The 22,196-nt window shown below is 46.0% G+C and overlaps 2 protein-coding genes across 12 annotated transcripts in view, besides 1 other annotated feature; one reads left to right on the top strand and one right to left on the bottom strand.

The window, feature by feature from the left end:
* The first annotated feature begins 3,576 nt into the window (after positions 1 to 3,576).
* Positions 3,577 to 22,043, top strand: LCTL (lactase like). 6 transcript variants are annotated; one of them, NM_207338.4, is made up of 14 exons: positions 3,577 to 3,718; positions 4,188 to 4,327; positions 4,736 to 4,899; positions 5,577 to 5,664; positions 5,950 to 6,059; positions 8,260 to 8,388; positions 8,474 to 8,569; positions 11,539 to 11,593; positions 11,692 to 11,853; positions 16,317 to 16,591; positions 17,406 to 17,532; positions 17,714 to 17,913; positions 19,471 to 19,534; positions 20,970 to 22,043. In NM_207338.4, the coding sequence occupies exons 2-14, from the start codon at positions 4,210 to 4,212 to the stop codon at positions 21,083 to 21,085; spliced, it is 1,704 nt and encodes a 567-aa protein (NP_997221.2). In that variant the 5' UTR covers positions 3,577 to 3,718; positions 4,188 to 4,209; the 3' UTR covers positions 21,086 to 22,043. The 6 variants fall into 6 exon arrangements, 4 of the variants coding, with proteins under 4 accessions (NP_997221.2, NP_001265491.1, NP_001381561.1 ...); NM_001278562.3 differs by lacking the exons at positions 4,188 to 4,327; positions 4,736 to 4,899; NM_001394632.1 differs by lacking the exons at positions 4,188 to 4,327; positions 17,714 to 17,913; positions 19,471 to 19,534.
* Positions 4,990 to 5,284: a silencer, noted in NCBI's record as "tiled region #674; K562 Repressive non-DNase unmatched - State 23:Low". NCBI's record gives its function as "represses a minimal TATA promoter and a strong SV40 promoter by Sharpr-MPRA in K562 cells {active_cell/tissue: K562}" and the evidence as "EXISTENCE:reporter gene assay evidence [ECO:0000049][PMID:27701403]".
* ZWILCH (zwilch kinetochore protein) overlaps positions 19,445 to 22,196 on the bottom strand; it is a 44,805-nt gene continuing 42,053 nt past the window's right edge. For 4 of the 6 annotated variants that reach the window (NM_001287821.2, NM_001287822.2, NM_017975.5 and 1 more), the window contains one exon: positions 19,445 to 21,224. The gene's annotated coding sequence lies outside the window, so the exon portion shown is untranslated. Of the gene's footprint in view, positions 21,225 to 21,645; positions 21,744 to 22,196 lie in introns of all 6 variants that reach the window. The other 2 variants (XR_001751344.3, XR_007064470.1) reach the window with 1 other exon arrangement.

The following is a 22,196-nucleotide window of genomic DNA, read 5'->3' as shown; positions in this document are numbered from 1 at the left end:
CCAGAGCCAGGCTTGGAGTCCATGGGAGGAAAACAGGGCCTCAATGATGGAGGCTGTGTCTGCAGCCAGACCCCAGGCCAGTTGAGCAGCCCCTCCAACACAAACACTGGCCCTGGCTCCACCGGAAGGGGCATTTTTCAGAGATGACATCAGCTTTGCTCTTCTTTTCCTTTCTTTTATTTTCCTTTTCTTTCTTTCTTTTTTTTTTTTTTTAGACGGAGTCTCGCTCTGTCACCCAGGCTGGAGTGCAGTGGCACGATCTCAGCTCACTGCAAGCTCCACCTCCCGGGTTCAGGCCATTCTCCTCCCTCAGCCTCCCAAGTAGCTGGAACTACAGGTGCCCGCCACCACATCCAGCTAATTTTTTTGTATTTTTTTAGTAGAGACGGGGTTTCACCTTGTTAGCCAGGATGGTCTCGATCTCCTGACCTTGTGATCCACCCAACTCGGCCTCCCAAAGTGCTGGGATTACAGGCATGAGCCACCGCACCTGGCTCTTTTCTTTTCTTTGAGATGGAGTCTCACTCTTTCACCCAGGCTGGAGTGCATTGGCACGATCTTGGCTCACTGCAACCTCTGCCTCCCGGGTTCTAGCCTCCCAAGTAGCTGGGATTACAGGCATGCGCCACCATGCCTGGCTAATTTTTATATATATATATATATATATATATATATATATATATATATATATATATATATGTGTGTGTGTGTGTGTGTGTGTGTGTGTGTGTGTGTGTGTGTGTGTGTGTGTGCGTGTATATATATATATATTTTTTTGAGACGGAGTTTCGCTCTTTTTGCCCAGGCTGGAATGCACTAGCGTGATCTCGGCTCACCACAACCTCCACTTCCCGGTTTCAAGTGATTCTCCTGCCTCAGCCTCCCGAGTAGCTGGGATTACAAGCATGCACCACCACACCCGGCTAATTTTGTATTTTTAGTAGAGATGGGGTTTCTCCATGTTGATCGGGCTGGTCTCGAACTCCCGACTTCAAGTGATCTGCCCACCTTGGCCTCCAAAAGTGCTGGGATTACAGGTGTCAGCCACCGCGCCTGGCCATTAATTTTTATATTTTTAGTAGAGATGGGATTTCACCATGTTGGCCAGGCTGGTCTCAAACTCCTGACAGTGATCTGCTCACCTTGGCCTCCCAAAGTGCTGGGATTACAGACATGAGCCACTGCGCCAGGCGGACATCAGCTCTTAAAGTCGTATGTTTCCTGCCTACCTCAGCCCAGGGAACAGAGTCCCCAGAGCCCACTCGCCTGTTCAGCGGCCTGCTTACCCCTGAGGACACAGCCTTGCCTGGGCACTGCAGGGCAGGTGCAAGCAGAGAGAAGATACCAACCTCCCAGGTCCAGAAATACATCTCAGGGCCTTTACTCATGCTATCCTTCCACCTGTTCCAATGCCTTCCCCACTCTGTGCCTCCACGAACGCCTGGCAAATGTCTCTGCATCCTTCGTGTCCCTTCGAAGACAGCCCCACACCCCTAGTCTCTCAGCGTTCCATCCCTCCATCCATTACAGCCCGGCCACTCTGCACCACATCCAGAACCTCCCCCCTTCCCCTCCCTGCTCGCCTCCTGTCCTCATGAGACCCCCAGTTCCAGAGGCCCACAGGCCAAGTCCTATTTTACTCTGGCCAGGGCCTCTTGGGGACTCAGGAAATGTTTCTTGAGGAAAGGCTAGAGGGCAGACAGGTAGGAAATCTGGTGGGGGAAATATCCTTATTGACACACCCCCATCCAATCACTACATTTTTGTAAGGGACCCAGCCCTGGCTTCTACTTTGAGAATCACTCCTGTCCCCATGAATGCACCTGGGGAACGTCAGAATTTGGGAATAAAGATCTTAGTGCCTTCACCACAGGCATCACCAGGGAAACCCCAAGGGACCTGGCCCCGTTCACCAGCTGGGCCCCCCAGTAAAGCAGCCTCCCCCCAGCCTACCCCCCAGGTGGGTGGGTCTAGACCCCCACCCCACCCACCCCCTGGCCTCCCTCAGCAAACCTCCGCACAATTGCTAGGTAGCGAGGCCTGAAGGAGCTCTCTAGTTTCCTCAACCTCTAACGGTTCCAGTAATAGCACCACCCTCAGAGCAGGGCCACCACGAGGCCAGGGTCAGTCCAGACGGGGCCGGCTTTTGTCCACACAGCCGTACAAGCCTGCCCTTGCTGGAGCCTGGAACCTCCCGCCCCACTGCAGCCGAAGCTGCATCTATTGCCTTGTCTCAGGGGTTGATGAATGAATACATGAAAGCCCCTGGACCTTAGGAAGCACCCAGTCAACGTTAGCCACGGTTAGGTTCATTATTGTACTATTTCGATTTTACTCACATTATTAAGCGTCCACTAGGTGGCAGCACTAGAGGACTGGATGCTGATGAACCAGGCTGGCCGCCTCCCGCCTCCCAGGAACCTACAAAGGGGCAGGGGACAGATACATAAACAGCTGATGTGGAAGTGCAGGGTGGGAGGGGTAAACGCAGGCTGTAGGAAAACCCAGGAACAGCCTAGACAACATAGCAAGACCCCATCTCTACAAAAAATTAGGCATGCGTGGTGGTGGGTGCCTATAGCCCCAGCTACTTGGGGTGCTGAGGTGGATCACTTGAGCCCAGGAGGTCCAGGCTGCAGTGAGCCGTGACCATGTCACTGTTTAAAAGAAAAAGAAAGAAGGAAGGAAGGAAGGAAGGAGAAAGAGAGAGAGAGAGAAAGAAAAAGAAAGAAAAGAAAGAAGAAGAAAGAAAGAAAAGAAAGAAGAAGAAAGAAAGAAAGAAAGAAAGAAAGAAAGAAAGAAAGAAAGAAAGAAAGAAAGAAAGAAAGAAAGAAAACAAAAAAAGAAAGAAAAGAAAACAAAATCCAGAGAACCTAGTCTGGCCTGAGGGTGCATGAATCCAGAAAGGCTTCCTGGAGGAGGTGCTACCCATTGAAGACCCAAAGGAAGAGTACAAAGAAATTAACCAACAACAAAGCCATAAGGCCCAGTTGAGAGAGCTGTGGTGAGGGCTCAGCTGAAGGCAGGGAGGCTGGAAATTGAGCTATGTGAAGGAGGCCTTTCTGATGGGGAGGGCACTGCAGGGAAGGGAGCCACAGCAGATGAGGGCAAGAGGTGCTGAGACTACAGGGTGGGCTGTTCTAGCAGGTGGTGCTGGTTGAATGAATGAGTGAGGAAAGAAATGAATGAGGGATACAAAGAGAGAAGGCCAAGGTGGAAAAACCAACTCTATCTTTTATGGTGGGTTTTTTGGTTGTTTTTTTTTTGGCAGCTGGGACAAGTAGACAGAGACACATGGCAACATACACTGGTCCTGCGCCACCCCCAGCTTGGGACTCGAAGGACTGGGGTGTGCTGAAGGTGGCATGTCAAGCCCAGAAGGGTCCAGGAGGACCAGGTCTCCCCCCTCCTTGGCTGCCCTTCTGTCCCAGGATGGGGAGTTGATTGATAGCTCCCCTGCCCCCCCGCCCCCCACCCAGCGCCAAGCTCCCCCAGCTGCTGACTCAGGCCCTGCCGGCCAGCTCAGCATTCCTGCCCGGCCCCCACTGAATGGAGCTATTGAAAGTTTCTGTAGCCACAGACCACACCCCCAACCAGAGCCTTCGGCTGTGCTGTGGCTCCTCTCTCAGGGGACAGCGTAGGCCCTGGGGGTCAGTTGGAGAGGGCTCTGACTACCAGCGACTGCTCTGGGGGTGTCTGCGATCAAGGACGATCCTGGGTAAGCTGGCTGGGCTGGCACCAAAGAGGGGATTCCAGAGCGAGGGGTCTCCCTCGTGTGCAGGACAGAGGCACTGGGATGGGCAACCCCGGCTTGGGGGAGGGGTCTGCGTGTCGTTGGGAGAGCCAAAGGGCCCTGTGGGTTTTCCCACCTGCCCCCTCAGACTGGAGCTTCCCTGAGGTAGACGTGGTTTCCCCCTTAGATAGAGGCCACTCAGGGGTATGGGCTGGGTCTCCCCCATCAGACAGGAGCCAAGGTAGGGAGAAGGGATAGTTTGGAGTCTTGCCCATCAGTCTCAGAGCTCCCCAGGCACGGAAACAGCATCAGACATCCAGCCTCAGCCTCTGCTGCTGGGTGCAGATCAAGCGCCTTCCTTTCCCTTCCTCTCCCCACTTGGCCTTTGCCCTAAGCCAAGACCTGGCCATCAGCCTGGCTGCAGGGGCCTGCAGAGCCAGCTGCACTTTTTCAGGTATGGGGGAGGGCCAGGCACCATGAAGCCAGTGTGGGTCGCCACCCTTCTGTGGATGCTACTGCTGGTGCCCAGGCTGGGGGCCGCCCGGAAGGGGTCCCCAGAAGAGGCCTCCTTCTACTATGGAACCTTCCCTCTTGGTACGGCCACGCCTCTGTTCGTCTGTCTGCCTGTCTGTCGTCCACCTGCCCACTTTGGCTGACTTGACAAGGAGTTTGGTGTTCTTGCTTCCTGATTGGCAGGATGAGAAACCTACCTTTGTGTGGTTGTTCTAAAAGCTCCTAACAGATATTTTTTTTTTGAAGTTACTAAAAATTACACAGATAATGTATGCTAATCAGAGCTAAAATTGTGCAAAAAATGTTTTTAATATATCTTCCCCTACCGTGCCTCATGTGCTCACACTCCTAGGAAGACAAGTCCCCAGTGGGACAGGGGCAGCGTGGTAGGGAGGGGCAGTCCCTGAGGCCTGGGAGGCACAGCCCAGAGTCCTGGCTCTGGGTGACACATGGGAGCACCTGGGACCCAGCACGGGTCTCCCCCTGCAGGCTTCTCCTGGGGCGTGGGCAGTTCTGCCTACCAGACGGAGGGCGCCTGGGACCAGGACGGGAAAGGGCCTAGCATCTGGGACGTCTTCACACACAGTGGGAAGGGGAAAGTGCTTGGGAATGAGACGGCAGATGTAGCCTGTGACGGCTACTACAAGGTCCAGGTGAGTGCGGGGTGTGAGTGTGTGTGTGTGCGCGCGCGTGCACACACATGTGAGTACATGCCTAGCTGGGAGGCAGGGAGTGACGTTTGGGGGAGCTCTGATGACAATGTCATCCCCATGCTCTGCCAAACACCCTCTACCCCAGTGCAGCCAGAGGGGGCAGGGCCAGTGGGGGTGAAGGTTTGGGAGGGGCCAGGATGTGAGGTGGATGTAGGAGGAAAGGAAAGTGGGGCCTCACCTGAGCCAGTGCCTCAGGCCAAGTGAAGGGGGAGCTGAAGGGCTGATCCCACAGCCTCAGGGCCTACAGCCACAGTGGCCTGAACCCCTGGTCCCTGCTTGTCAGTTGCACCCTGTGGAGGGAGTGGGACCCGCTCATCCTCAGCACCCACTTTCCTCTCTGGATGGCTTCTTGAGGAACTCATCACCCAGGTTTACTAGGGGCACCCTGATGGACTTCTCTCAGTGCCTCCCTGTCCTGCGTTTTCTTTGACTCTTGGCATATCCCCTGCATGAAGTGGGCAGGTGGCATCACCTCTGTTGTACAGGTGAGGAAGCAGGTTCTTCCTTGCCCACTAACAGCTACAGACAAGAGTGAGCCTCGGCCCTAGAGCCCGATGGACCCCTACCTCCCATACCCAGGGCCCAGGTGACCTGTCTCCCCACCCCTGTCTGCACAGGAGGACATCATTCTGCTGAGGGAACTGCACGTCAACCACTACCGATTCTCCCTGTCTTGGCCCCGGCTCCTGCCCACAGGCATCCGAGGTGAGCTAGGGAAGCCCCTCTTGAACCCAAGTGAGGCCCCTTCCGGCAATGTTGGCTTTGCAGGGGCACCACAGAGTCCTGGGGAGGGAGATCAGCCCATGAACGTAGTTGCTGACGGTAGCAGCTCTCACAGGTTCTGCAGGTAACTGGGCTCCCAGAATGCTGGTGGGCTGAGGGTGCCTCAGGCCTTCAAAAAGCAACAGGGCCCAGGAATGCTGCACTCCAGAAGGCCAAGGCCAAGGCCGAGGTCCTTTCTGGTAGCATCTTCTTTTATTTCACCTGCAGCCGAGCAGGTGAACAAGAAGGGAATCGAATTCTACAGTGATCTTATCGATGCCCTTCTGAGCAGCAACATCACTCCCATCGTGACCTTGCACCACTGGGATCTGCCACAGGTGAGGACCTGAGCAGGCTCACAGGCCCAAAGGGGACTCAACTAAGCAGGAGGGAGCCCAGTTTGAGGACTTGGGTTGCCAAGGTGGAGCAGAGACTAGGGTCTGGATTCTGGCGCAGGACTATAAGATGCGAGTGAGTGAAAAAATCTCTCTGACTCACTGTCTTAATCCACTTTTGCTGTTGCAATGGAATGCCTGAGTCTGGGTAACTTGTAAAGAACGGGAATGTATCTTCCCACAGTTCTGGAGGCTGGGAAGTCCAAGATCAAGACACTGGCAGGTGCAGACTCTGGTGAGGCCCCAGTCTCTGCTTCCAAGATGATGCCTTGAATGCCGTGTCCCTCTTTTTATAAGGGCACCTAATCCCATTCAAGAGAGAAGAGCCCTCATGACTCAATCACCTGCCAAAGACTACACTTCCCCATACTGTTACACAGGGGATACAGTTTCAACATGAATTCCAGGGGACAGAAACATTCAAACCAAAGCACTCATGTATGGCAGGGAGGTCACACTGCTTTAATTGATGTGTGTAGTAAGTGAAAAGAGTGAATCCTTTTGTTTTCTAAAAAACTTGGCATAAAAACAAATTTTAAAAACTATAAAGATATGTCTTTTAACTAAGATCTGGCAGCCAGGCACAGTGGCTCACGCCTGTAATCCTAGCACTTTGGGGGGCCGAGGTGGGTGGATCACCTGAAGTCAGGACTTCGAGACCAGCCTGGCCAACCTGGTGAAACACAGTCTCTACGAAAAATACAAAACTTAGCCAGACGTGGTGGCAGGCGCCTATAATCCCAGCTACTTGGGAGGCTAGGCAGGACAATCGCTTGAACCCGGGAAGCAAAGATTGCAGTGAGCCGAGATTATGCCATTGCACTCCAGCCTGGGCAATGAGAATGAAATTCCGTCTAAAAAAAAAAAAAAGATCTGGCGACATAGCATAATGAACAAGTTTAGCCTTTTTTCTACAATTTGTTTGAGCCAGTATCACAAGCACTCATATATGACCCCTGCCCCAGCAATGTCCATGAAATCACAACATGCTTCAGAACGTCACTATGTCACTGTGATTCAAGCAATATTTTCTTTCTTTTGTTTTTTTTTTTTTTTGAGATGGAGTCCTGCTTCGTCGTCCAGGCTGGAGTGCAGTGGCATGATCTCGGCTCACTACAGCCTCCGCCTCCTGGGTTCGAGTGATTCTCCTGTCTCAGCCTCCTGAGTAGCTGGGATTACAGGCATGTGCCACCACGCCCGGCTAATTTTTGTATTTTTAGTAAAGACAGGGTTTCGCCATGTTGGCCAGGCTGGTCTCGAACTCCTGTCTTCAGGTGATCCAGCTGCCTCGGCCTCCCAAAGTGCTAGGATTACAGGCGTGAGCCACTGCGCCTGGCCTCAGGCAATATTTTCATTCACTGGGGAGAAGGTGGTCCCATCGGTGCCCTGGAAGGTTTGGGCAGGAGGTGGGAGGAAAGGGTGTTCTGATTGGAGGGCGCATGGCAAAGAGGGGGAAGCTGGGCAAGCAGTTCGGTTCAGTTAGAATTTGGGGAGCAGGTAGGAGAGGGAAGGGTTAGAGGCTGGAGAAGTGGCTTGGGGAAGACCTCGAAGGCCTCGAGTGCTGAGCTAAGATGACTGGGAACTGGGTTTATTCTGTGGGAATGGGAGCTACCAGAGTCCTCTAACTGGGCAGGAGGGCAGAGCAGGCTTTAGGGAGATGAACCTTCCAGCTTCTTCCCTGGTTGCTTTCATGAGCCTGCCCCATTAACATCCCCTCAAACCCACCAAGGAGAGCTGGACAGGTAGTCTCGATACAGTGACAAGTCTTGGGAGAATTCTGCCGTCATGGGCAGATGTCTTTGGTTGGGAAAGCCCTCTGCCGAAGAAGGCAGACTCTGTCCCAAGGCTTCTAGGAGCTTTCTGACATCTGTGTGGCCCTCAAAATCCTCATCAGAGTGTTCATCCTAGCATCAGATCTCATTTCTCCAGAACTTAGATCTAAGATGCTTCCCCATTATTAGGCCCCTTTCCCCTGGCAATTTTTCTTAAATATTCAATCCATCCAGTTCTTTCTAGGCATGAGAGTCCCAGTCTCCCTGTGCGGCCTCCCTCCTGTTTGTCTGAGGACTGTCACACAGCTTATCTCCACATTTAAACCGCTTTGCGGTTCATTCATGGGGCATCTGCTTCTCTGTGTTCACAGCTGCTCCAGGTCAAATACGGTGGGTGGCAGAATGTGAGCATGGCCAACTACTTCAGAGACTACGCCAACCTGTGCTTTGAGGCCTTTGGGGACCGTGTGAAGCACTGGATCACGTTCAGTGATCCTCGGGTAAGCAGGGCCCCTCCAGGTGGGAGAATGTGACACTCCCTGCCACTTCTTATGGATCCTGTGGTCCTGCTTGCTGTCCCTATAGGCAATGGCAGAAAAAGGCTATGAGACGGGCCACCATGCGCCGGGCCTGAAGCTCCGCGGCACCGGCCTGTACAAGGCAGCACACCACATCATTAAGGTGAGGTGGGTCCTTCTGGTGGAGGAACAGCCTCAGGGTCAGCTCAGCCTGCCCCAGGGGCTCTAGCCTGAGCTTGGTCCTCTGCCGCTCCACCTCCGAGTCAGCATACTCCATAGCACCTTCCCTTCTGTGACGATTTATGGAGGGCGTGTTCTGTCATTCAGGGCGCTGGGGGACACTATGGCTGAGCTGTTATAGCGACTCCCAAGAGCTTACAGCCTAGCCAAGGGGACATCCATGTGGAAATGCGTCAACTACAGGTCCAAGCTGTGACAGGAGGAAGAAGGGGTGTGACAGCGAGCCAGGGGTTAAAATCTTCAATGAATCAGTAGAAGTAACTGGGGTTGATCAAGGACAGCAGTAAGAGGAGTTAGAAGTGGTCATCAGAGTGTGGACTTCAAAGAACCTGGGAATTTTGAAGGAGGAAGGAAAACTAGTTTGGAAGCAGCGATAATGAGCAGGCAGACTCCACCTTACTCCCAGCTCAGAGGTATGTGGAGTGTGATGGAACAAATGGCCTCTGCTTGAAGGAGCTGCAGCGGAGGTGCTCTTAGGGCCAGCAGGCATCAGTCACACAAGAGAGTAAAGGGGCCATTCGGAGAAGATGCTGCAGGAAGGAAGGGCTACTGGAAAGCCTTGTCGCTGGGGAAGGAATTGGGTCACATTACAGGACATGTATGAGGGTATACATGATGGTAACTGGAGAACAGGGATACGAGGCATGCGGGATTGGCCCCAAAGGACACTTAGCGGAAGGTGGACAATCTGTCTAAGCTGGAAGGCAAGGAACCACTGGGTGACATTCCAGATCCCCAAACTCATATCAGGGAGAACATTTTCTCATTTTTTCTACATTTGGCTTATGATTTCTTAAACTGTGAATATTTAAAGGGCAGAGCTCTCAAGATTTTTTTTTTTTGAGACTGAGTCTTGCTCTGTCACCCAGGATGCAGTGAAGCGGCGTGATCTCGGCTCACTGCAACCTCCGCCTCCCGGGTTCAAGCCATTCTCCTGCCTCATTCTCCCAAGTAGCTGGGACTACAGGCGTGCACCACCACACCCAGCTAATTTTTGCATTTTTGATAGAGACAGGGTTTCACCATGTTGGCCAGGCTGGTCCTGAACTCCTGACTTCAGGTGATTCCCTTACCTCGGCATCCCAAAGTGCTGAGATTGTAGGCATGCGCCATAGCGCCCCGCCTCAAGATATTTTTAATATTAAACATGGAAGTCATTTTCTGGGCCTTCTTATCCATCAAAAGTAGTGAGCTGAAGAGACGCGATTATTTATTTATTTAGAGACAGATTCTCGCTCTGTCGCCCAGGCTGGAGTGCAGTGGCACGATCTCGGCTCACTGCAACCTCTGCCTCCTGGGTTCAAATGATTCTCCTGCCTCAGCTTCCTGAGTAGCTGGGATTACAGGCATACGCCACCACACCCGGCTAATTTTTTTGAATTTTTAGTAGAGACAGGGTTTCACCATGTTGGCCAGGCTGGTCTCCAACTCCTGACCTCGTGATCTACCCACCTTGCCCTCCCAAAGTTTTGGGATTACAGGTGTGAGCCACCGCACCCGGCCTGAAGAGATGTGATTCTGATATTGTTTTGACATGTTCCACTTCATCAGACAATACCATGATTCACTTGGTTATTGCTGGTTGGCAAAAGGAATTATAAGGAAAGAAGTCTGATAAATACAGGTTCTCTGTGAGTAACAAACAAAACAACCCCGAATTCTATAGCCTTCAGATATTCAGGTCTTCTAAATTGGTACTTCTCAAATTTTAACACACATCAAAATAATTTAATAAATGATTACTGAGCCAGGTGTGGTGGCACATGCCTGTTGTCCCAGCTATTTGAGAGGCTTGAGTAGGAGGGATGATCACTTGAGCAGGAGGATCACTTGAGCCTAGGAGTTTAATTCCAGCCTAGACAACAAGCAAGACCCCATCTCAAGAAAAAAAAAACAAAAAACAAAAAACAAGCTTATTAAAGCACAGATTGCTGGCCAGGCACAGTGGCTCATGCCTGCAATTCCAGCACTTTGGGAGGCTGAGGTGGGCAGATTGCTTGAGGTCTGGAGTTCGAGATCAGCCTGACCAACATGGAGAAACCCTATCTCTACTAAAAGTACAAAAATTAGCCAGGTGTGGTGGTGGGTGCCTGTAGTCCCAGCTACTCAGGAGGCTGAAGCAGGAGAATGGCTTGAACCTGGGAGGCAGAGGTTACAGTGAGCCAAGATTGTACCACTGCACTCCAGCCTGGGCCACAGAGCGAGACTCCATCTCAAGATAAAAAAAAAAAAAAAAAAAAACACACACACACACACACAAAAACCACAGATTCTTGGGCCCCGCTTTGAGTTTCTGATTCAGTAGGTCTGGCAAGGGCCCATGGATTTGCATGTCTATTAAGTTCCCAGTGGATCCTGATGACCTTGGTCTGGAGATCACACACCGATAATCACTGTTCTAGATTACTTTCCATCTCTCTTAGGTGTTGACCTACCCAAGCGCGGTGGCTAGCTGAAATAGCCTCAGGCAGGCCAGCGGGTCACTGGTAGAATATGAAGAGAAGGCAGGTTGGCGTGTTTTAGATTCCATTTCTCAAGACTATTTCAGACACTTGGTATTTTCCTAAATTACTGAGCTCCTCTGAGGAAAAGTACTGCCTAGTTGCTACTGAGGACTAAGAGGAACAAAACAGGAAACTTTAGCAAAAATCTTAAAAACGATAAATAACAACAAAAAGTTGTTTGAGCCAGACTTACATCAAGTTTCATTTACAATATAAAGAAAATAAGTGCCTCAAGAAGTTAGAGGAAAGAAGACTGGATCGGGATAAACAAGGCTGGATTGATGAAAATAATAGCTCTAAAGTTAGGAAGCAAAGAAAGGCCACTCAGATTGAAAGGGAGGAAATGGATGGGCCAGGTACCTACGATGAATTTCTGCTCCCCTTTCAGGCCCACGCCAAAGCCTGGCATTCTTATAACACCACGTGGCGCAGCAAGCAGCAAGGTGAGCTGTGGCCCCACACATGTACCCAGGACAGCCAAGTGCCCGGAGCAGCAATGGCATGCCCACTCCCCACTCCCTTTTCTTTCTTTTCTTTTAAGGTCTGGTGGGAATTTCATTGAACTGTGACTGGGGGGAACCTGTGGACATTAGTAACCCCAAGGACCTAGAGGCTGCCGAGAGATACCTACAGTTCTGTCTGGGCTGGTTTGCCAACCCCATTTATGCCGGTGACTACCCCCAAGTCATGAAGGACTACATTGGTGAGCCCAGTCTCATTTTAAACTGCAGATACTAGGGCAAGTTATTGAGCCCATGTGAAACAAGCAAAAGGCAGGGGGATGAAGAGCTCACTGGGCCTGGGTGAGGTACTCAAGGGATAATCCAGACTCAAAAGAATTGAGAACCAGACATTTGAATTGGCAGGGAGGAACCCTAGACCTCTCAATTTCCCTAGACTTGGAAATTGAGAATTTTCAGAACTCAGGGAAGAAAGTGGTGGTCTTTGGGCTGGTCTCTCTTATGTTCTGCTTCCCTGCCCTTCCTCCACCCCACTTTAACTGCAGTCAAGCAGGAGAGAGGTCAGACACAGTCATGGGCCTGTGTCACTTCTATTGTCGGTTCTTTCTGTCAATGGAGAAATACTTTCCAAGCTCCAGTTTCCACAGTGTTGGAGAAGAGAATAAACACAAGTAAGGCTTACAGGGATATATCAATTTGGATGTTTTTAACTGCCACGTAACAGAAAATTCTACCTAAAAATGACTTGAAGTAGGGAATTTATCATCTCACCTGAGCCCAGGGAAGGGTGATGCAGGGCTAGGTAATCTAGCCTTCAGGGGTGCCCTTGAGGACCCAGGCTCATTCCATCTTTCCACTCTGGCACCTTCAGTTAGCCCATCAACCAATCCCCATGGCCACAAGATGACTGCAGCAACCCCAGGCATCGCATCTTTACACGTCAACACCCAAAGACAGAAAAAGGGAATCACTCTGTCATAATAAGTTTTGGGGTGGGCTTTCTTGGCCATTTTTTTCCCCAATTTTTTTTTATTGTGGCAAAATACACATAAAATGTACCTGTGTTGCCATTTTTAAGTGTACAGTTCAGTGGTATAAAATACTTTCATAATGTGCAACCATCACCACCATCCATCTCCAGAACGCTTCATCTTGCAAAACTGAAACTTTGCCGAGTCCCTGGCAACCACGATTCCACAGTCTCTGATTTTGACTAAGTAGCTCATATAAGTGGAATCATACAGTATTTGTCTTTGTGTGACTGGCTTATTTTACTTAGCATAATGTCCTCAAGATTCATCCATTTTGTAATATGTCAGAATTTCCTTCCTTTTTAAGGCTGAATAATATTCCATTGTCAGCCGGGCACGGTGGCTCAAGCCTGTAATCCCAGCACTTTGGGAGGCCAAGGTGGGCAGATCACCTGAGGTCAGGAGTTTGAGACCAGCCTGACCAACATAGTGAAACCCCGTCTCTACTAAAAGTACAAAAGTTAGCTGGGCATGGTGGTAGGCCACTGTAATCCCAACTACTTGGGAGGCTGAGGCAGGAGAATCACTTGAACCTGGGAGGTGGAGGTTGCAGTGGGCCGAGATCTCGCCACTGCACTCCAGCCTGGGTGATAGAGTGAGACTCCATCTCGAAAAAGAAAAAAAAATTTCCATTGTCTGTATATATCATATTATGCTTATTCATTCATCCATCAATAGACACTTAGGTTGCTTCCATGTTTAGCTATTGTGAATAATGCTAAAAACACGGGTGTACAAATATCTCAAGATCCAGCTTTCAGTTATTTGGGGAATATACCCAGAAGTAGAATTGCTGGGTCATATGAAAAATTCCATTTTTAATTTTTTTTTAAGGAAGCATCGTACTGTTTTCAACAGTGGGTGTACCATTTTACATTCCCAGCAACAATACACAAGGGTTCCAATTACTCCACATCCTTGCCAACACTTGTTATTTTGCTTAATAATGGCTATCCCAATGGGTGTGAGGTTGTATCTCACTGCAGTTTTGATTTGTGTTTCCCTAATGATTAGTAAGAGCATCTTTTCATGTGCTTATACATCTGTAGATCTTCTTTAGAAAAAATGCCAATTCAAGTTCTTTGCCCATTTTTGAATTGGGTTGTTTTTGTTGTTGAGTTTTGGGAATTCTCTACATATCTTTTTATCACATATATGATATGCAAATATTTCCTCCCATTCTATGTGGGTTTTTTATTCTGTTGCTAGTGTCTTGATTCCCAAATTTTTAAAAATTTCATGAAGTCCAATTTGTCTATTTATGTTTGCTTCTTTTGCCTATTTTTGTTGCCTGTGATTTTGGCGTCAGAGTCAAGATATAACTGCCTAATTAATTGTCACGGTGCTTTTGCTCTATGTTTTCTTTTTCTTTCTTTCTTTTTTTTTATTTTTGAGACAGAGTCTCGCTCTGTTGCCCAGACTGGAGTGCAGTGGTGCGATCTCGGCTCACTGCAACCTCTGCCTCCCAGGTTCAAGTGATTCTCCTGCCTCAGCCTCCCAAGTACCTGGGATTACAGGCACCTGCCATCATGCTCAGCTAATTTTTGTATTTTTGTAGAGATGGGGTTTCACCATGTTCGAAACTTTGGGAGAGTGAGATGGAGCAAGACTCCATCTCAAAAAAAAAAAAATTTAAAATTAAAATTAAAAATTCAATCCTTCGGTCACTATATTTTAATAGCCATATGCAGCTAGTGGCTATTGTATCAGTGCAAGGACAATGACGATAGCTGGTGGCTTTTCTTAAGTCACTAAATGTAACTGAAATAATGTGCCAATATTTTATTTGCTTTATGCTAATATCTTAAGGGTATTTAATAACACAAACTTTGTATTCATTTTATCTAAACTATTATCCTCTTTGGAACTATTCTTATGGTTATATTTTAGATCAATTCAGGGAAAATGTTGTTTTTCTTGATTTATATATTAAAAGTCTTTTTTGTATAGATTACACCTGGACATGTTTCCAATTTTTTAAAGTACAAAAAATATGAAGTAAAAAGTCAGGCCTCTCTCTCTCCCTCCCCAGAAGCAAGTATACTTCCAGAGATGGATTGTGCATGTGGTCAGTGTATGTGCTTATGATTACACGCAACATTCTGAAGCTTTTTTTTTCACTGAAACCTATATCCTGGCAAGCTTTCCACATCGCTATAGAAAGTGCCACCTCATTTGTTCTAAAGGCTGCATAGTGTTGTACTGATGGATGTTTCATTTACATAACCAGACCCTACTGACAGACATTTAGGTTGTTTCCAATCTTTTGCCACTCAATCTATAATGAAGATCCTTGTACAAACATCCCTTTACATGTGTGAGTAAAGTGTAAACAGATTTGGAATTGGTCAATGAAAGGACATATGCTTTTACAACTTTGAAAGATGGGACAAAGATAGGACATACCATCACTGGCCTTCCAGTTCCCTTCCCAAAGGCAGCTAAAATTACACATTTTTATTTTTTATTTTTTGAGATGGAGTTTTGCTCTTGTTGCCCAGGCTGGAGTACAATGGCATGATCTTGGCTCACTGCGACCTCTGCCTCCTGGGTTCAAGTGATTCTCCTGCCTCAGCTTCCCGAGTAGCTGGGATTACAGATGCCCACCACCAAGCCAGCTACTTTTTTTTTTTTTTTTTTTTTTGAGACAGTCTTGCTCTGTCGCCCAGGCTGGAGTGCAGTGGCGTGATCTCGGCTCACTGCAACCTCCACCTCCCGGCTTCAAGCGACTCTCCTGCCTCAGCCTCCCAAGTAGCTGGGATTACAGGCACGCACCACCACCCCTGGCTAATTTTTGTATTTTTAGTAGAGATGGGGTTTCACCATGTTGGTCAGGCTGATCTCAAGCTCCTAAACATCGTGATCTGCCCCCCTCGGCCTCCCAAAGTGCTGGAATTACAGGTTTGAGCCACCGCTCCTGGCCAATTTTTTGTATTTTTAGTAGAGACAGGGTTTCACCATGTTAGCCAGGCTGGTCGCGAACTCCTGATCTCAAGTGATCCACCTGCCTCAGCCTCCCAAAACGCTGGAATTACAGGCGTGAGCCATTGCACCCGGCCAAATTACCCATTTTTAATGTAAGGAACAATATAGGAGCCCAACTCTACTTTTTCTCCAGATGGCTACACACCACTTACTGAGTAATCTGTGAAAATACAACTTTTTTTTTTTTTTTTTTGAGATGGAGTCTCGCTCTGTCACCCAGGCTGGAGTGCAGTGGCACGATCTTGGCTCACTGCAAGCTCCACCTCCTGGATTCACGCCATTCTCCTGCCTCAGCCTCCCAAGTAGCTGGGACTACAGGCGGCTGCCACCACGCCCGGCTAATTTTTTGTATTTTTAGTAGAGATGGGGTTTCACTGTGCTAGCCAGGATGGTCTCGATCTCCTGACCTTGTGATCCGCCCGCCTCAGCCTCCCAAAGTGCTGGGATTATAGGCGTGAGCCACCACGCCCGGCCTGAAAATGCTATTTTTAAGCAATATAAACTTATAAATATTTTGGACAGTATTGAAATTTCAAAAATTCCACTTTGGATGGCTAAGGTTATACTTCCCATGCAAATGAATCCTAAAGCCCACCGTTTATGTCAAGATGTCACTATCGTCATGATACATAACACAGTGATTGGGAGAAAATAAGGCTTTGTTAAATTCTACTTTTCTCTCTCAAAAGGAAGAAAGAGTGCAGAGCAAGGCCTGGAGATGTCGAGGTTACCGGTGTTCTCACTCCAGGAGAAGAGCTACATTAAAGGCACATCCGATTTCTTGGGATTAGGTCATTTTACTACTCGGTACATCACGGAAAGGAACTACCCCTCCCGCCAGGGGCCCAGCTACCAGAACGATCGTGACTTGATAGAGCTGGTTGACCCAAACTGGCCAGATCTGGGGTCTAAATGGCTATATTCTGTGCCATGGGGATTTAGGAGGCTCCTTAACTTTGCTCAGGTGATTATCACATTCAGCTATTCAAAGGACATTTAGACTTGAATTCATGTTCTCACAGCTTAAGCTCAGGTGCCTACATTAGAAAGTTAATAAAACAAAATAAACCTAGTTACTCATACTTCAGAGGCTACTAAATGTAGGCCTTACAGACTCACGTCTACCATGCATAACCATTTGCATGTATATAACTTTAGCTAAAAAATTCATATCCCACATTTATTTTGCTGTCCTTCACACCTAAACTGGAATATGTGGCAAAGAACAAGACCAAAGTACATGTCCCCTCCAACAATGTTTTTTTTTTTTTTTTTTTTTTGAGACAGTCTCACTCTGTCACCCAGGCTGGAGTGCAGTGGCATGATCTCGGCTCACTGCCACCTCTGCCTTCCAGGTTCAAGTGATTTCCTGCCTCAGCCTCTTAAGTGGCTGGGATTACAGGCGTATGCCACCACGCCTGGCTAATTTTTGTATTTTTAGTAGAGACAGGTTTTCACCATGTTGGCCAGGCTGGTCTCAAACTCCTGACCTTAGGTGATCTGCCCACCTTGGCCTCCCAAAGTGCTGGGATTACAGGCGTGAGCCACCGCGCCTGGCAACAATGTTCATTTATTGAGAAATACATTCTTTATAAGAACCTGTCTCCTGCCTACATTAGTCTCTAAATAAACATGTTATCTGACATCTACTAAATGCCAAAATACACTTGATTAGAATGTGGCAGGCTTGAATATGTGTTCCTATATGAGCCTCTGACTCAGAAACCTACCTGTAGGTCAGAATTTTTAAGATATTTGTTGCTATGACTCACTTTCAGACTCAATACGGTGATCCTCCCATATATGTGATGGAAAATGGAGCATCTCAAAAATTCCACTGTACTCAATTATGTGATGAGTGGAGAATTCAATACCTTAAAGGATACATAAATGAAATGCTAAAAGGTGAGACACAAACCAAGATTGTCTGCAGTTTTCCCGTTTAACTGAGACAAAATGTGATTAACACACAATCAACTGAAACTTGCTTCTAAATCTCATAAATGAAAACATTTTAACATTATCTTCAGTTTTATTTTTCTAAGTAAATGAAATATATTTAAAATGGAATAAAATGTCTTTGCAGCTATAAAAGATGGTGCTAATATAAAGGGGTATACTTCCTGGTCTCTGTTGGATAAGTTTGAATGGGAGAAAGGATACTCAGATAGATATGGATTCTACTATGTTGAATTTAACGACAGAAATAAGCCTCGCTATCCAAAGGCTTCAGTTCAATATTACAAGAAGATTATCATTGCCAATGGGTTTCCCAATCCAAGAGAGGTAGGCCTCATTATCAATGTTATCTGTTCTGAACTTTAGGAAGAGCTAGATAGCTGGAACACACAAAGAACTTGGCAAGTTTCTCTTCTCTTTCCTCCATGAAAGAGGACGGGGCATGCGGCATGGCCCTTTATTTCACCTTTACTCATTTGCTTAGAATGGAGCAAGCATGATGTAAACTTCAATCTAAGGGCACTACCAGAGGTTATGAAGGAGTTCCGTTTGCTTTAAGTTATGATAGGGCAAAAACAATAGAGACTTATAGTTAAATGTTATTCTAAATCTCGTGTCTTTTTTTTTTTTTTTTTTTTTTTTTGAGACAGAATCTCACTCTGTCGCCAGGTTGGAGTGCAGTAGTGCGATCTCGGCTCACTGCAACCTCCGCTTCTTGGGTTCCAGCGATTTTCCTGCCTCAGCCTCCTGAGTAGCTGGGATTACAGGGGCATGCCACCACGCCCAGCTAATTTTTGTATTTTTAGTAGAGATGGGGTTTCACCATATTGCCCAGAATGGTCTCTAACTCTTGACCTCGTGATCTGCCCACCTCAGCCTCCTAAAGTGCTGGGATTACAGGCGTGAGCCACCGCGCCTGGCCCAAATCTTGTGTCTTAATGCAAACAAATACTACCTATTCTTCAACATATATTTAAAAAGTTAAGTAAATCAAATGTATAATTATCATATCATTTTCATCTATTTTCCAGCCAAGCAGCAGAGCCATACACACACACTGGCTTCAAAATGAGATCTAAAGTAATCAAACTTAGTAATCCTTTAGCATCTACCAAACATTTTCAATAACCTGAAAACTTTTCTAGCAGCTCTCTATTCTCTGTTGCTGCACCTATTGGTAGGGAATATAAACTGTAATCTCGAGTGTCTTGGCCAGGTACGGTGGCTCATGCCTGTAACCCCAGCACCTTGGGAGGCTGGAGTGGGAGGACTGCTTGGGGCCAAGTGTTCAAGACCAGCCTGGGCAACATAGCAAGATATCATTTCTACAAAAATTTAAAAATCAGCTGGATGTGGTGATGCGCCTGTAGTCCCAGCTGACTACAGAGACTGAGGTGTGAGGATCACTTGAGCCCAAGAATTTGAGGCTGCAGTGAGCTATGATTGCTCCACTGCACTCCAGCCTGGGCAACAGAGCAAGACTCTGTTTCTAAAAAATGAAATAAAATAGAGTGTCTTAATAAAAATAATTTTAAAAAGTAAATTTCACTTGTTTACCAAAACTATTTTAAGGTGAGCCCCGTAGGACTATTAAATGGAAGCAGTGACTAAAAACCATAAGGCATTTGCTACTTTTACATTATTAGAAAAGCACTAGAGTGTACACTCCTCATGAATAAAGACTGTTCTTTGACTCCCTCACTATGATGTACATGGATGTACAGTAAATATTAACTAATTTAAACTACAAAATGATTTAAAAACATAAACTACAGATAGATTTTAAAAAATATTTACTTTTACCCCACATTTATTTCAAAAATGATTTGAAACAGCAAAAAATTAGTCTAAGACAACATTACTTATCAAGTGGGTTTTTATTAGGTGGAAAGTTGGTACCTCAAAGCTTTGGAAACTTGCTCTATCAACAATCAGATGCTTGCTGCAGGTGAGTCAGTATATTTCAATGTTTTCCTTTAATAATTAAACTAAATAATTATACATATCATTTTCAAAATCTCAAAATGTGGCTCTACTTGAAGTCAATCTTCCAAAACTACTTATGATTAAAATCAGGTTTCTTTGAAGCAATGTCAAATTTCTATTTATAAGCATTTTAAAGCATTTAATCTACCATGAAAGATAAACATTTTATCCATTTTATCCATTCAAGTTTTATTCTTTCAGAATCATACCTATAAATTTATATACCTACTATTTTTGTTATAGTGGGCTTGGGCAAGGAGAGGAAAAGCCAACCACTATACCAACTGGGATGAAGGAAAAAAGAATACTTGAGATCTTATATTTGTTCATTCGGCAAGCAATTATTAAGCACTCACTATTTGCCAGGGAATGTTTAAGTCATGAGATATAGCCAGGAACAAAACAAGGTCCCTGTCTTCATAGAAGACATCATTTCCTATGTAATGGGGTCTAAAAGGATCAGAGATGTCGAATAACAAAGATGCAACTATGCATCAAGAAATGCCAACACATATTATTTGTTTCTTTGAATTTTATCTTTATTTCTCCATAAGGGCAATCAGAGAAATATGCTTTCCTTTTTAACAAGCTCATCTTTAATGTGGTAGCAAAGATGGAAGGTGCGAGACCAAATCTTACCAAACTAGCTATTTTTACAGGCCAATAAAGCAACATGCAATCCCCCTCAACAAATTTAAATAATCAGGCAATACTAAGAATGTATATTCCATTAAACTAAAATAAACAAGGTTGAAATGTGGTACAGAATTCACTGATGAGCCTGTGAACTCCACGTGAGGATGTCCAGTGCCTTATTTATCTCAGTAACCAGAGTACCCAGCACACAAGATAAAAGTGGGTATTACCTAAGTGGCCACTATTTTATTAATAATGCACATAACATATGCTTATCATTAACTCTTAAAAAGATTATTATTTAACTATACAAGAACTACCATACAACATTTCAACATACAAGTTCCTATACTTCTTAAGATACACAATAATATTTTGAAAGATTGGAAATGTTTCCCAAGGACTTTCCTATCACAAATCCCCCCCAGTAAAAATTATAGGAACTGTGGAATATGGCTGCTAATATTCTGAGATGAATTTAGAAAGTATAAGTATTGAGAGATGGACTTTATTATAGCACCTGTAGAAGAACCAAATTCAGGCATTTATCCCATATTTTCTGAAATATTTACAAAGCTCTTATAACATTTTCAAATAACATTTAATTTACTAAGTTCTATTTCATGGCAAATAAGAATCAGAAAATTTGAGGATGCTATTTTTTAAGTTTTCCCAATACAGTTAAAGCTTTTGGGATAAAGCTGTATTTACTAAAATGATCCTGTTCTCATTTGTGGTGCTCGTTCTCTTTGTCATTTCAGAGCCCTTGCTAAGTCACATGCAAATGGTTACGGAGATCGTGGTACCCACTGTCTGCTCCCTCTGTGTCCTCATCACTGCTGTTCTACTAATGCTCCTCCTGAGGAGGCAGAGCTGAGACAGGATTATCAATTTTGGAGCTTCATAAGAGAATCTTCAGGATCTTCCTCCCTTTTCTGCTTTGAGGGTTTCCATACATTGCTGTTTTCAGGTTCTACAATAATTACCTTTTTTTCTCTTTCTCTTTTTGGCTTGTGCTGGGATTTAAGAATTAGAAAATAAAAATAAGCAGAAATTAAAAAAAAAAACACTTGTAATCTCACCCCTCCTAAAGTTAATGTTAAGATTTTGCTGTATATAATGAATGTATATTATGAATTATTTACAAAAATGGCATCATAGTATACAAACTGTTGTGACTTGATTGTTTATCACTCTAAAATCTGTCCAGAAATATTACTTTAATGTTCAAATGATTGCCATCTCAGCACTGTCCCATACCTGATAGATAAAATCAATCTGGCTGGGCACAGTGGCTCACACCTGTAATCCCAGCACTTTGGGAGGCTGAGGCTGGTGAATCACTTGAGGCCAGAAGTTTGAGACCAGCCTGGCCAACATGGTTAAACCCTGTCTCTACTAAAAATATAGAAACTAGCTGGGCATGGTGGCGGGCACCTGTAATCCCATTTACTTGGGAGGCTGAGGCAGGAGAATCGCTTGAACCTGGGAGGTGAAGGTTGCAGTGAGCTGAGATCACACCACTGCACTCCAGCCTGTGCAACAGAGAAAGACTCCGTTTCAAAAGAGAAAAGAAAAGAAATCTATAGATAACAATCCTTCCAGGTTGTAAATATTATTAGCCAACCACAGAAAAGCATGAAGTGGGTACCAAGTAAATGAGCACGTACACTCTTCTGACACTTTAGTCTGAATTTAGTCTGACAACTCTGACTAAATTCAACTTACTTTAGTCAATGAAATACCTCAAAGAAATATTACATGTTTATTTTTTATTTATCTTCTAGGTAACTCAATATCGTCTTTTTTATAATAAAGATTCATTTTACTCTTAACTATGTTAAAATGCTAAAATTAATTAATTTCCATTTATTTGGGGATAAAACATGGCTTAAGAACAATCTCATGCATTTTTCTCATTATCTGATTTTACTTAATACTGTTTCTGAAACCAAAAAAGAATAAGACAGTAGAAAATGTCTCTACTA

This window comes from Homo sapiens, chromosome 15 (assembly GCF_000001405.40).
Source record: "Homo sapiens chromosome 15, GRCh38.p14 Primary Assembly".
Classification (NCBI taxonomy): domain Eukaryota; kingdom Metazoa; phylum Chordata; class Mammalia; order Primates; family Hominidae; genus Homo; species Homo sapiens.
The sequence above is the reverse complement of the archived record's forward strand: the minus strand, read 5'-3'. Positions and strand labels throughout refer to the sequence as shown.